General features: G+C 36.1%; 2 annotated features.

The window, feature by feature from the left end:
* Positions 13561 to 14450: an enhancer, noted in NCBI's record as "OCT4-NANOG hESC enhancer chr17:51138562-51139451 (GRCh37/hg19 assembly coordinates)". NCBI's record gives its function as "activates a minimal SCP1, AML or CMV promoter by ChIP-STARR-seq in naive and primed H9 embryonic stem cells {active_cell/tissue: H9 hESC(naive and primed)}" and the evidence as "EXISTENCE:reporter gene assay evidence [ECO:0000049][PMID:30033119]".
* Positions 13908 to 14202: a silencer, noted in NCBI's record as "tiled region #8115; K562 Repressive non-DNase unmatched - State 24:Quies". NCBI's record gives its function as "represses a minimal TATA promoter and a strong SV40 promoter by Sharpr-MPRA in K562 cells {active_cell/tissue: K562}" and the evidence as "EXISTENCE:reporter gene assay evidence [ECO:0000049][PMID:27701403]".

A 15599-nucleotide genomic window follows, 5' to 3' on the forward strand; every position in this document is an offset into this window, starting at 1 on the left:
AATGTAAATGGTCTAACTGCTGCACTTAAAAGACACAGAGTGGCAAGTTGCATAAAAAAAAAAACAAGACCCAAAATAATAATGGGGGACTTCTACATACTATTAACAGCATTAGACAAATCATAAAGGCAGAAAACTAACAAAGAAATTCTGATTTAATTTCAACACTTGACCAATTGAACATCTAGAGAACATCTCACCCATCAACTACAGAGTGCAGAGTATACATTCTTTTTGTCTGCACATAGACATACTTCAAGATCAAGAAAATGCATGGTCATAAACCAAGTCTCAATAAATTGAAAAAAATCAAAATCATAGCAACCATACTCTTCAGACCACAGTGTAATGAAAATAGAGAGAATTATGGAAACAACAATTAAAGATGAGATTTGGGTGGGGACTCAGCCAAACCATATCATTTTAGCCCTTGCATCTCCCGAATCTCATGTCTTCACATTTTAAAACATAGTCATACCTTTCCAACAGTCCCCCAAAGTATTAACTAATTCCAACATTAACTCAGAAATCCAAGTCCAAAGTCTCATCTGAGACAAGGCAAGTCCCTTCCACTTATGAGCCTATAAAGTCAAAAGCAAGTGTAAATTACTTCCTAGAGACAATAGGAGTACAGGCATTGGGTAAATACATCCATTCTAAATGGGAGAAATTGGCCAAAGCAAAGGGACTACAGGCTTATGGAAGTTCAAAATTCAGTAAGACAGCCATTAAACCTTAAAGTTCCAAAATGATGTCCTTTGACTGCATGTCTCATATCCAGGTAATGCTGATGCAAGAGGTGGGCCCCCACAGCCTTTAGCATCTCTGCCCCTGTGGCTTTGCAGGGTACAGCCCCGCTACTGGCTGCCTTCACAGGCTGGTGTTGTGTGCCTGGAAAAGTTATAATCTGTTGGTGGATCTACCATTCTGGGGTCTGGAGAATGTTGGCCCTCTTCTCACAGCTTCACTAGGCAGTACCCCAGTGGGGACCCTGAGTGGAGGTTTCAACTTCACATTTCCCTTCCACACTGCCCTAGCAGAGGATCTCAATGAAGGCTCCACCCCTGCAGCAAGTTTCTGTCTGAACATCCAGGCTTTTCACACATCAGAAATCTAGGCAGAGATTCCCGAACCTTAATTCTTGACTTCTGTGCACCCATAGGCTCAATGCCATGTGTATGCCACCAAGCCTTGTGGCTTACACTCTCTGAAGCAACAGCGTGATCTGTAGCTTGGCCCCTTTTAGCCATGGCTGGAGCAGCTAGGGTGTAGGACACCAAGTCCCTAGGCTGCACACAGCAGGATGGCCCTGGGCCTGGCCCAGGAAACCATTTTTTTCCTTTTAGGCCTCCGAGCCTAAGATGGTTGGGGCTGCCATGAAAGTCCTTGGCAGGCCCTGTAGACATTTTCCCCATTGTCTTGGTGATTAACATTCCACTCCACATTACTTATGTGAATTTCTGGAGATGACATGAGTTTTACCCCAGAAAATTGGTTTTTATTTTCTATTGCATTGTCAGGCTGCAAATTTTCTAAATTTTTATTCTCTACTTCCACTTGAAAGCTTTGGCGCTTAGAAATGTCTTCTGCCAGATACTCAAAATCATTTCTTTGAAGTTCAAAGATCCTCAGATCTCGGGCAGGAGCAAAAGGCCGCCAGCCTCTTTGCATAGCAAGAGTGACCGTTACTCCAGCTCCCAAGAAGTTTCTTATCTTCATCTGAGGCCACCTCAGCCTGGACTTTACTGTTCATATCACTATTCAGCATTTTGGTCAAAGCCATTCAACAAGTCTCTAGGAAGTTCCAAACTTTGCCACATTTTTCTATCATCTTCTTAGCCCTCCAAACTGTCCCAACCTCTGTCTGTTAGTCATTTCTAAAGTCACTTCCACATTTTTGGGTATCTTTACAGCAGCACCCCACTGTACTGGTACCAATTTACTGTATTATTCCATTCTTACACCACTATGAGGGAATACCAGAGACTGAGTAATTTATAAAGGAAAAAGGTTTAATTGACTTACGGTTCTGCATGACTGGGGAGGCCTCAGGAAACTTACAACCATGGCAGAAGAGAAAGCAAACACATCCTTCTTCACATGGCAATAGCCAGGAGAAATGCAGAGTGAAGTGGGGGAAAAGCTCTTTATAAAACCATCAGATCTCATGAGAATTCACTCACTATAGTGAAAACAGCATGGAGGTAACAGCCCCCATTATTCAATTACCTCCCACCAGGTCCCTCCCATGACATGTGGGGATTATGGAAACTACATTTCAAGATGAGATTTCAATGGTGACAGAGGCAAACCATATCATGCAAAAACTGGAAGCATTCCCCTTTGAACACTGGAACTAGACAAAGATGCCCACTCTCACCACTACTATTCAACATAGTACTGGAAGTGCTAGTGAGAACAATCAGTCAAGAGAAAGAAATGAAAGGCATCCAAATAGGAAAAGAAGACATCAAACTATTTCTCTTCACAGATGATATGATTCTAAACCTAGAAAACCCTAAACTTCCTGCCAACAGGCTCCTGGAACTTATTTAAAAAAAAAAACTTCAGTAAAGTTTCAAGATACCAAATCATCCAAATCATTGTACACAAATTAGTAACATTTCTATACACCAATGATGTCCAAGCTGAGAACCAAATCAAGAATGCAATCCCATTCACAATAGCCACACAAACAAAAACATAACTAGTGTTACCCTAAGCTGCACTATTTTGTAAATTCTCATCATTTTGCAAACCCTGGTCAGAGTAAACAATTCCACTAGGGCTCGGGCCATGAGAAACGTCCTGTTGGAGAAGTCCCAGGCCTAGCTGCCTGTCCACAGAAAATTCCTCACTTATCAGCAGATAACCACACTGCCCCATCCCTTTGTGTAACAATCCCAGGACTCTCCTGCCCATGCCTATAACTATCCCGTTGGTAAGCAGGGGCAAGCTCTGGTGCTAGCTGGTGTCCCCTTCTGCAAGTCTTTGCTCAATAAACCTTGTTGCCATAGAGCATCCTCTATTCTGTTCCTTCTCCCCTTCCTACTCTAATACCTAGGAATACACCTAATCAAATAACTGAATGATTTCTACATGGAGAACTAAAAAACACTGCTAAAAGAAATCATAGATAATACAAACAAGTAGAAAAACATTGTGTGTTCACAGATTAGAAGAATCAATGTTGTTAAATTGCCATACAGCTGATAGTAATCTACAGATCCAAGCCTATTCCTCTCACAACACCAACATCAATTCCACAGAACTATTAATAGAAAAAAAATCTATTTAAACATTCAGATGGAACCAAAAAGGAGCCCAAGTAGACATAGCAATCCTAAACAAAAGAACAAAGCCAGAGGCATTATATTACCTAACTTCAAACTATACTATAAGGCTACAGTTACCAAAACTGCATGGTAAGGTACAAAAATAGACACATAGACTAAGGAAATACAATAGAGAAACAAGAAATAAAGCTGCCCACCAACAGCCACCTAATCTTTGACAAATTCAACAAAAATAAGCAACAAGGAAAGGACTCTGTATTCAATAAATGCTTCAGGGCTAACTGGCTAGTCATGTGCAGAAGAATGAAACTGGACCATTACCTTTCATCATATACAAAAATTTACTCAAGATGCATTAAAAGTTTAAATATAAGACCCAAATATAAAAATCTTAGAAAAAAACCTAGGTAACACTATTCTAGACATTGGCATTGGGAAATCTTTTATGACTAAATGCTCACAAGCAATTACAACAAAAACAAAAATTGACAAGTGAGACCTAATTAAACTAATGCACTTCTGTACAGTAAAAGACACTATCAACAGGGTCAACAGATAACCTACAGAATAGGAGAAAATATTTGCAAACTACACTTCCAACAGAGGTCTGATATCTCAAATTTATAAGAAACTGAAACAATTGAATAAGCAGAAAAAAAAAACATTAAAATGGGCAAAAGACATAAGCAGACACTTTTGAAATGAAGATATAAAAACCCTCAAAAAACATGAAAAAACGTTCTACATTACTTACCAGAGAAATGCAAATGATATACCATCTCATACCAGCAAGCATGGCTATTACTAAAAAGTCAAAAAACAACAGCTGGCAAGGCTACAGAGAAAAGGGAATGCTTATGTGCTGTTGGTGGGAATGTAAATTAGTTCAGTCACTGTGGAAAGCACTATGGAGGTTTCTCAAAGACCTTAAAACAGAACTACCATTTAACCTAGCTATCTCAATACTGGGTATATGTTCAAAAGAAAATAAATTGTTCTACCAAAAAGACAAATGCACTCATATGTTTATTGCAGCAGTATTTACAATAGCAATATTGTGAATATTGGAATCCAACCTAGGTGCTCATCAATGGTGTATGGAATAAAGAAAATGTGGTACATATACATCATGGAATACTATACAGCCATAAAAATGTATGAAATAATATCCTTTGCAGCAACATGGATGCACCTAGAGGCCATCACTTTAAGTGAATTAACGCAGGAAAATAAAACCAAAATTCTGAATATTTTCACTTGTAAGTGGGAGCTAATATTGGATACTCATGGACATAAAGATGGCAATAATAGAAACTGGGGATTACTAGAGTAGAAAGGGAAGTACAAAGATTGGAAACTACCTATTGGGTACTATGCTCAGTACCCTGGTGATGGGATTATTTGTACCCCAAACCTCAGCATCACACAATATACCTAGATAATAAACCTGCACATGTACCCCTTACATTTGAAATAAAAATTTTAAAAAATCAGGAATGAATAACATGAAACTATTTTAAACGACAAATTTGTCTGCTAAATAATCAAGTCAAGACCAAGAATTAAACACAAAAAAATCAAAACCGTGTAAGATATGAGAATAAAGTTCAAAGGTAATTTTGAGAGAGTGTATCCTCCAGGATCTTACAGAACTTGTTAAAAAAGATAGTATAAAAAATTGGGTAAAGAAAGATCAAATACTTAATAAAAGACTTCGGATAACTGAAGAAACACATGAGTATTCATTCCATAAGAGCCCACAAAATGACCACAGACTTACATAAAAATATCTACTTCTAAACTGGTTTCTAAACATCTAGTTATATACATTGTGATTAAATTTCATTATGCCAACAATAAAGGCACCCAAAACATATCCAGAAAGAAAAAGAACCCAAGTTATCTACAAAAGAATGAACAACAAAATAACATCAAATACTGGAAAACAGTGGAAAAAATATTTGCTAAGTTCTATGGAAAAATGCTTTTAAGCATAGAATTCTATACTAGGCAATAACACCATTCAAAAGGGAGAGCAAAATTATATATTCACATATGTAAAGACTCAGAAGTTTTATGACCACGGACACATTTCTGGAAGAATTACTTGAGGTACATTTTCAAAAGATACATTATGATTCCACAAAAAAAGAGGAAAGATAAAAGCATAAGAGATAATTGTGAGCAAGAAAAATCAGTAAATGTTTAAGTTTAGATACTTGTACATGTAAACTGTATATTCTTGTTAATAGCAGACTGATATAAAGTGCCATATAGTGTTAATTTTTTTATAAGTAAATACATAAAAACCTTACTTTCCAATGAACAAATAAAAAATAAAACAAATGCATAATTAACAGAGGACAATATATATAAAAAATCATCAATGCACAAAAAGAGGCTCAACTGTACTAGGAAAATGCTAATAAAAACAACGATTTACTATGTGTTAGCTTTCGATTGGGTCAAACATATATAATTGATAACAGCCATGGAAAGGCTGTGGAGAGACTGGCATTTTTTCCCCAAGATAGTTAAAAATTAAAATTGTGGGTTTTTACTGATAGAAAACTGACAATATCTATACCCAAATCAAAATTTTACTCATATTTTAATTCAAAAATCCTATGTCTTTTATTCTATTCTTAAGGAATGCTTGCAAATGGGAATAAAGATATACATTCAGGAATATCAACTGCAGCATCACTTTAAATAGTTAACATGGGAAACCATTTGAATGCTAATCAATAGAAGAATATTTAAGTTTAATAATATACTCAGACTGTAGAATATTATGTAATTATTAAGAGGACTAATATAGTCTAAGATCTCCTGATATACATTAGTTGCTAAGCCTTAAGGGCACTTTAGCAGAAACAGGAAAATTCTGGAACAAAATATAGAATTTGATCCAGTTTGTTGAAAACATTTAGAAATATGTGTATGTGTTTGTGTGTACACATCTGCAGAAAATTTTTTGACAAATGCTTAAAAAATTCTATTAGGAGCAGTTAATTTGGGGAAAAAGTAGAGGTATGGAGGGCTAAAAGTAGGGCCTTTTCCATTCATCTTTTTAAGCTCTTGCAACAAGGATGTATTGAGATGGATAGTAGAAAAATGTAGGCAAAAACCACTACTTATGCCTGTTTACATCTTTGCTTTTTTATTTTATGTTATTGCTTGTTTTATTTTGTTTTATATTTTGCTGTATCCTCTATCTCTTTAATGGCAAATCCAGTCTGTTCGTAAATTCTCAAGCTTTTCCTCTATTTACTGATTTCCATTGGTCTTTCTGATTGGAGCTCAAACATCCCCTCTTCAAGGTGGTCTTTCTTGTCTATTTCTTCTTCTTCTTCTTTTGTTGTTGCTGTTGTTGTTGAGACGGAGTCTTGCTCTGTCGCCAGGCTGGAGTGCAATGGTGCAATCTCGGCTCACTGAAACCTCTGTCTCCCAGGTTCAAGCGATTCTCCTGCCTCAGCCTCCAGAGTAGCTGGGACTACAGGCGCATGCCACCATGTCTGGATAATTTTTGTATTTTTAGTAGAGATAGGGTTTCACCATGTTGGCCAGGATGGTCTCAATCTCTTGACCTTGTGATCTGTCCGCCTCGGCCTCCCAAAGTGCTGGGATTATAGGCATGAGCCACCGCGCCCGGCTGCCTATTCCTTCTTAATTCCACTTATTCTTCCACCATTGCCATCGTATTTTTTTCAAGGCATTGATATCTATCTAAAATTATACCTCATATATATTTATTTAACTGTTTACTAGAGATGCCTTCACCAAACCTTAGAATGAAAATTCCAGGTAAACAGATGGATGTTTTATTCTCACTGCTATAGACCTAGTGGCAGTACTTGGCAAACATTAAGCACTAAATAAGTATTTGTTGAATGAATCAATGAATCAGTTTAGATTTCTATTTTGTCATCTATAAAGTGAAAACATTTCTGAGATTACATTTGGGAAACTATCAAAAATGAAGCAAGAAAGCTGGATTCTTTTCAACCACTAATACTTGGGAATAATGTGGTTCTGAAAGGCAAGGAAGATCATAATATAAAATTGAATCTGTCCACTAAAACCAAAAATATAGAAGAGCTCTGTGATGTTTTCATTCAAATGGCTTTTGCTGTTTACTTTAAACTACATTGTGGAGGGAAAATAATGTTATGTTCTTCCCAAATGAAGATAATAAAATCCTCAAATATCAGTTATTTGGGGGAACATAACTTCTTTTCATATGTGAACAAGGGTAAATGAAAGTTGGAAATCCTTCAGCTCAATTAGGTCTATAGCTTCCGCAATGAGACATTCTGCCCACATCTGTCCAGATATGTATTCCTGAGGACACAGTAATGCATTTTTTGAAGGCAGCAAGATGCTATTATAGTAACTAGATGAAATAGTAATCCTAGCATCCTTGACTAATTTTCTTCAGTAGATATATTGAAGTTTCCTAAAGCCAGATGTTCAACTTGCCAAATTAAACAGTGAAACTGCCTAATCTTTGACTTATAAACCTAGAGAAACAAACAGTCTTTGCTTTTGCATGTTTAGAAAAAATTAGGTTCATATTCCTGACTCCTTTAATACTGATTTATTCAAGGGTATTATTCAGCATGTAATAGATAGTTTAATAAAAACATGTAGAAAAACATACAGATATACTGAAGGTAATTTCTTTAAAATTAAAAAAATTCTTTTAATTACATTTTATGAAGAGAAGCAAAAATACATAATCAGAAAGGGTTGTACAAAAAAAACTGACAAAAACCTGCTTTCTGAAGTCCTACATAGAATATCTCTAGTAATGTAAGACATAAATACCCACAGGTTTTATGCCATTATTTTGACTCCAGTGATATCTAAGAATTTTATTCTGTCTTTCCTTGAAAAAGCAAGTGATATGGTTTGGCTGCATCCCCACCTAAATCTCATCTTAAACTGTAACTCCCACAATTCCTACGTGTCATGGGAGGGATCAAGTGGAAGGTAATTGAATCATGGGAGTGAGTTTTTCCCTTGCTGTTCTCCTGATAGTGAATAAGTCTCATGAGATCTGATGGTTTTAAAAAGGGGAGTTTCTCTGCACAAGCTCTCTTTGCCTGCTGCCATCCACATAAGATGTGACTTCCTCCTTCTTGCCTCTCCCCATGATTGTGAGGTCTCCCCAGCCACGTGGAATTGTAAGTTCAAGAAACCTATTTCTTTTGTAAATTGCCCAGTCTTGGGTATGTCTTTATCTGCAGCTGAAAATGAACTAATACAGCAAGTAAACTTGGCTGACTGAAATAAAATGGTTTAAAATAAATGTAAATTGCCACATGATTTGTTGGATAGTAAAACAGCATATATGATTATATCATTAATCACAATAAACACCATTCCTACCAATTATTGTTATATATTTCACCATAAGACATTTATAGAAAAATTAACAGCATGCTGCCTCACCTTCTACCATGGCAAAATATTTCTAAAATAAACTAATTTTGAGTAAGAAGCATTTCAACTGAAAATGCTAAGAATGTTATAATTACTATATAATAATTTTTTAATCTTAGTGACCTCAGTCAGATGGCAGAAATAAAATTTTCTATGATCATCTGCCCATCGTGCATCAATTTTGACAACCACCCATGGGTAAGAGTATTTATGTGCGAGTCTGGGAATTCAGTGAAAATTTTCCAGCACACGATTAGAGCAAAAAAAAAAATCCAAGAATTGATGCATTGAATAATTCAGTCTGTAAAGACTGGAGAAGATGACTCTTTCTTCAAATGTAAAGATGCTAATGTAAGACTTCAAACAACACACCTACAAATAAAATTAAAAGAAACTAAAAAACAAAAAAATTCCCCCAAACAATGAAGAAAACATGAGAAAACCAAAGGAACACAATGTTTTTAGTAACTGATCTCCCAAAAATGGAAATTTACAAATTACCTGACCAAAAATTGAAATAATTGCCTTAAGAAAGTTCAGTGAGCTGCCTGAGAACGTAGACAACTCAGTGAAATCAAGAAAATAGTATACAAAAAATTGAGAAGTTCATCATAGATAAATCAAAAAAAATAGAACAAAGCAGAATGTTAAAATTGAATAACACAATAAATGAAATGAAAATTGCAATAGAGAGCTTCAAAAGCAGACTTGATAAAACAGAACAAAAGTATTTATGAACTCAAAGATACGTCACTTAAAATTATCCATTCAGAGGAGAAAAAGGAATGGATGAAGAAAGATTACAGGATTGAGGATATTATATTATGAAAAATAATATATGGATTTGGAAGTATCAGAAAGAGGAGAGAGAAAGAGATAGAAAGCATATTTAAAGAAATAATGGTTGAAAACTACTCAAATCCTGGGAAAGATATCAACATCTTGGAAGAGGTGGATCAAAGGTTCTCAAAAAGTTTGAAACCAAAGAGGACTTCACTGTTTCCCCTTATCATCAAACTGCAAAAATCAGAAGAAATAGAAGGTTTTCGAATGCAACAAGAGAATAGGAACTTGCCACATATGAGGTAAATCTCAATAGGCTATTAAGAGATTTCTCAGCAGAAACCTTGCAGACCATGAGACAGTAGGACAATATGTTAAAAGCACTAAAAGAAAACAATAACAACAACTGGTAACCAAGAAAATATCCCTAGCAAAATTGTCCTTCAAAAATGAAGGAGAGATAAACACATCCTCAGACAAACAAAAACCGAGAAAGTATACCACCACTAGACTTACCTTAACAAAATGCTAATGCTAAAGGGAGTTCTTCAAGATTGGTTTAAAGGATGCTAATTAATAACATGAAAATATATGAAATTGAAACTCACTGGTAAAGGTAAGTATATAATCAAATTCAGAATACTTCAATATGGTAATCATGGTGTACAAACAATTTATAACTCTAGTATAAAAGGTTAAAAGAAAAAAATAAACATAGCTATAACTACAAAAATCTTTATATGAATACTCAATATTACTTCAAAAACCAATTGTGGAGGGGGCTAACTTAAATAATATAATTGTTGATGTAATTGAATTTAAGTGTCAATGAGTTTACAATAAAGTGTTATATCTGTAAAATATTGCATATAGCCCCAAGATAATTCCAAAGAAAAAAACCTACAGTAGACAAACAAAAGATAAAGAGTAAGGAATCAAAGCATCTTACTATGAAAAACTGGCCCAGCATGGTGGCTCACGTGTAATCCTAGCACTTTGGGAGGTCAAGGAAGTTGGATTGCTTGAGCTCAGGAATTTGAAACCAGCCTGGGCAAGATGCCCAAACCCCATCTCTACTAAAAATACAAAAAATTAGTGAGGCGTGATGGCACATGCCTGTAGTTCAGCTACTCTGGAGGCTGAGGCATGAGAATCTCATGAACCTGGGAGGTGGATGTTGCAGCATACTCAAGCCTGGGCGACAGAACGAGACTCTCTCTCTCAAAAAAATAATAATAATAAAAGACAAACAACAAAAACCCAAAGCATATCACTATGAAAAAGCATCCAATTACAAAGCAAGATGGTAAATGAGAAAGAAAAAAAGGGACTACAAAATAGATGTAAAAGAATTAATCAAATGGCAATAGTAAGTCTTAATAATAATTACTTTTACTTTAATTACTTTAAATATACTAACAATTACTTTAAATATAAATTTACTAACTTCTCCAATCAAAAGACATACAAGCGGAGAATGAATTCTTTTTAAAAACATCCAATTGTATGCTGACTGAAAGAGACCTACTTTAGCTTTAAGGACACACATATAATGAAAATGAAAGCTAGACTAAGAAAAAAAGGGAAAACTCAAATAAATAAAATCAGAAATGAGAAAACAGACATAACAACTGAGAAGTACAAAGAATCACTGGAGACTATAATTAACAGTATGACAACAAATCGGAAAACCTAGAAGGAGTGGATACATTTCTGGACACATACACTCCTGTCAAAGAAAATTCTAGGACCTGAGGGTTTTACTGCTAAATTCTACCAAACATTTAAAGAAGAACTGATACCAATTCTTCTCTAATTCTTAAAAAGAAATTCAGGAGGAGAGAGCACTGTCAAATCTATCCTGTGAGGCTCACATTGCCCTGGTCCAAAAGCAGATAAGGACATAACACACACACAAAAACTACAGCCAGTGGTCCCTAATGAACATAGATGCAAAAATCCTCAACAAATGATCCTCAAACTGAATTCAAAACACATTAAAAAGATCAAAAGATCATTTGCCATGATGAAGTGGAATTTATGCCTGGGATGCAAGAATGGTTCAACATAAACAAATCAATCTAAGTGATATATGACACTAACAGAACAAAACAAAATGGAGAACCAAACATATGAACAAATATATGGAAAAAAAAACACATGATCATGTTAATAGATGATGAAATAAGTATTTAATAAAATTTAACATCTCTTTACGATAAAAATCCTCTATAATCTGAATATAGAATGAAAATACAGCAAAATAATAAAGACTACCTACGTCAAACTCACACCGAATATAATACTGAATGGGCAAAAATTAAAATAATTTTCTCTACAATCTGTAATGAGACAGGATGCCCAGTTTTATCACTTTAATTCAACAAACTACTGGATATTGTGGCCAGAGCAATTAGGCAAGAGAAAGAAGTAAAAGGCATGCAAATTGCAAAGAAGAAGTCAAATTAACCTTGTTTAGAGATGACATAATCTTACATTTAGAAAAGCCTAAAGACTCCACCAAAAAATGGTGAGAACTGAAATGAACTCAGTAAAGTGGCAGGACACAAACCTAACATACAACAATCAGTAACATTTATATACACCAATAGCCAATGATCCTCCCCACAAAAAAAAATCAAGAAAACAATCCCATTTATAAAAGCTACAGGGAGTATAAAATAACCTAAAATCAATTTAACCAAAACATAAAATGTCTATAAAAATAAAATTCAAAACACACTTGAAAAGACAGGGGAAAAAAGTGTTTCATGCTTATGGATTAGAAAAATTAATATTTTGAAATTGGCAATACTACCCAAACAATTTGTAGATTTAATGCAATATCTATCAAAATACTAATAAAATTTTTCAGAAAAATTGAAAAAAATTGTGAAATTTGTGTGGAACCACAAAAGACCTGGAACAGCAAAAGCAATCCTGAGTCAAACAAATAGAACTGGAAACATCACATTACCCGACTTCAAAATATACTACAAAGCTATAGTAACCAAATCAGTGTGGCCCTGGCATAAAAATGGACACATAAGTTAATGTAACAGAATAGAGAACCAAGATATAAATCCACACATTTATAGTCAACTCATTTTTGACAAAGGTGCCATGAACATATGTTGGGCAAGGGACACACTCTTGAATAAATAGTGCTATGGAAACTGAATAACTACATGCAGCAGACCCCTACATCTCACGATATACAAAAATCAAAAATGGATTATATACTTCAGTATAAGACTTGAAACTATGTAACTACTAGAAGAGAACATTGGGGACATTCCAGGACATTGATTTTGGCAAATAATTACTTTTAGAACCTCAAAACACAGACACAGAAGCAAATATAGACAAATATGGTCACATCAAAATAAAAAGTTGCTGCACAACAAAGGAAACAAGAAAGTGAAGCAGCTATTCACAGAATTGGAGAAAATAGTTTCAACATATCTATCTGACAAGGGATTAATAAGGGGAATATATAAGAAGCTCATACAACTTAATAGCAAAAATATAGTCTGATTAAAATGGGCAAAAAATCTGAATGGACATTTCTCATGTAAGTGGTCAACAGATATATGAAAGAAATACTCAACATCATTAATAATTTGAAAAATGCAAATCAAAATAACAATAAGATATTATTTCATCCTAGTTAGAGTAGCTTTTATCCAAAATACAAAAAAAATTAATGAATGCTGGTAAGGATGTGGAGAAAGGGAAATTCTCATACACTGTTGGAAGATATCTAAATTAGGACAGCCACTATGGAAAACACTACATAAGTTCTTCAAAAAACTAAAAATAGAACTGCCATAAGATCCAGCAGTCACATTGCTGGATGTATTTAAAATAAAATCAATATTAAAGAGATATCTGTCCCCCTATGTATATTTCAACTTTATTCACAATAGCAAAAATATGAAATCAACCTAAATGCCCATGAATAGATGAATAAATAAAAAAGTGATTTATGTATTTGTTTGTGTACATATAAATATCACATTTCTTCATAGATATCTATGAAATATTTATATTTCTTCATACAGGTATACCACATTTACATACTGATATGAATTGGCTCTGTGTCCCCACCTAAATCTCACCTTAAATTGTAGTTTCCATAATTCCCACGTGTCATGGGAGGGACCTGTTGGGAGGTAATTTAATCATGGGGTTGGTTATCCTCATGCTGTTCTTGTGATAGTGAGTGAGTTCGCATGAGTTCTGAGGTGTGGGAGTTCAGTCAGTCTGGTGGGAAACATTTTAAAGATAGTTAGAGAAATACACATAAATCTTGGAAGGCCAGAGGGTTTGCATAAGCTCCAGTAATAGATCTGGCTGAAGGCAGCCTAACCGGTAACTTGAGTAAATAGTTTAAGGCAGGTACAAAGGAATGTAAGGGAGTTTATCTAAATAGCTTGCCTACTCATGTGGCCCTAAGACTAACCTTTGATTATTCATGGGCAGGATGGCTCTCTCAGGGGGAGGGCAACAAAATTAGTTACCCACAGGTGTGCTGACTCAAAGCCTTTATCATTTAAAGTGTGCTGAATAAATGCCGGCAGGGTCAGCTAGTCAGGACTGCGACTGCTACTCTTTACAGCACCTTCCTCGGTGTTTGTGAGGGGCCTGGACTCTTAGCCAGACTGACAGGCAGAATATCTGTGTCAGTGTACATTATTCATCTGTGGTTCGGTCAGAGTCTGCGGGACGGACCCCTGACTGACAGTTTCATGAGGTTCTTTTCCCTGTTTTGCTCGACACTTCTCCTTGCTCCCACCGTGTGAAGAAGGACACGTTTGCTTCCCCTTCCGCCATGATTGTAAGTTTCCTGAGGCCTCCCCAGCCATGATGAACTGTAAGTCAGTTAAACCTCTTTCCTTTAAAAATTACCCAGTCTGAGATATGTCTTTATTAGCAGTGTGAGAATGGACTAATACAGTAAATTGGTACCAGGTAGTGGGGTGCTGCTGTAAAGATACCCAAAAATGGGGAAGTGACGTTGGAACTGAGTAACATGCAGAGGTTGGAACAGTTTGGACGGCTCAGAAGAAGACAGGAAAATGTGGGGAAGTTTGGAACTTCCTAGAGACTTGTTAAATGGCTTTGACCAAAATGCTGATAGTGATATGGAGAATAAAATCCAGGCTGAGGTAGTCTCAGATGGAGATGAGGAACTTGTTAGGAACTGGAGCAAAGGTGACTCTTGTTAATGCTTTAGCAAAGAGAGTGGTGGTATTTTGCTCCTGCCCTAGAGAGCTGTGGAACTTTGAGCTTGAGAGAGATGATTTAGGGTATCTGGCAGAAAAAAAATTCTTTCTTTTTTTTTTTTTCTTTTTAGACAGAGTCTGACTCTGTCACCCACGTTGGAGTGCAATGGTGCAATCTCGGCTCACTGCGCCTCCGCCTCCCGGGTTCAAGTGATTCTCCTGCCTCAGCCTCCCAAGAAGCTGGGACCACAGGTGTAAGCCACCAAGCCCAGCTGATTTTTCTATTTTTTGTAGAGACAGAGTTTCACTACTGTGGCCAGGCTGGTCTCGAAACTCTTTACCTCAAGTGACCTGTCTGCCTCGGTGTCCCAAAGTGCTAGGATTATAGGCCTGAGCCATAGTGCCCTGCCTGGCAGAATAAATTTTTAAGCAGCAAAGTGTTCAAGAGGAAGCAGAGCATAAAATTTTGGAAAATTTGCAGCCTGATGATGTAATAAAAAAGAAAACTTTATATTCTGGGGAGAAATTCACACCAGCTGCAGAAATTTGCATAAGTAATGCGGAGCAGAATGTTAATCACCTGTGCGGCCCCTCTCATCACAAGTCCCTCACACCACAGCACAGCAGCCCCTCCCATCACAGGTCTGGAGGCCTAGGAGGGAAAAAATGTTTTCATGCGCTGGGCCCAGGATCCCTCTGCTTTATGCAGCCTTGGAACATAGTGCCCTTCATCCCAGCTGCTCCAGCTCCAGAGGTGGCTTAAAGGAGCCAACATATAACTCAGAATGTTGCTTCAGAGGGTGCAAGCCCCAAGCCTTGGTGGCTTACATGAGGTGTTGGGCTT

Source organism: Homo sapiens, chromosome 17 (genome assembly GCF_000001405.40).
Source record: "Homo sapiens chromosome 17, GRCh38.p14 Primary Assembly".
Classification (NCBI taxonomy): domain Eukaryota; kingdom Metazoa; phylum Chordata; class Mammalia; order Primates; family Hominidae; genus Homo; species Homo sapiens.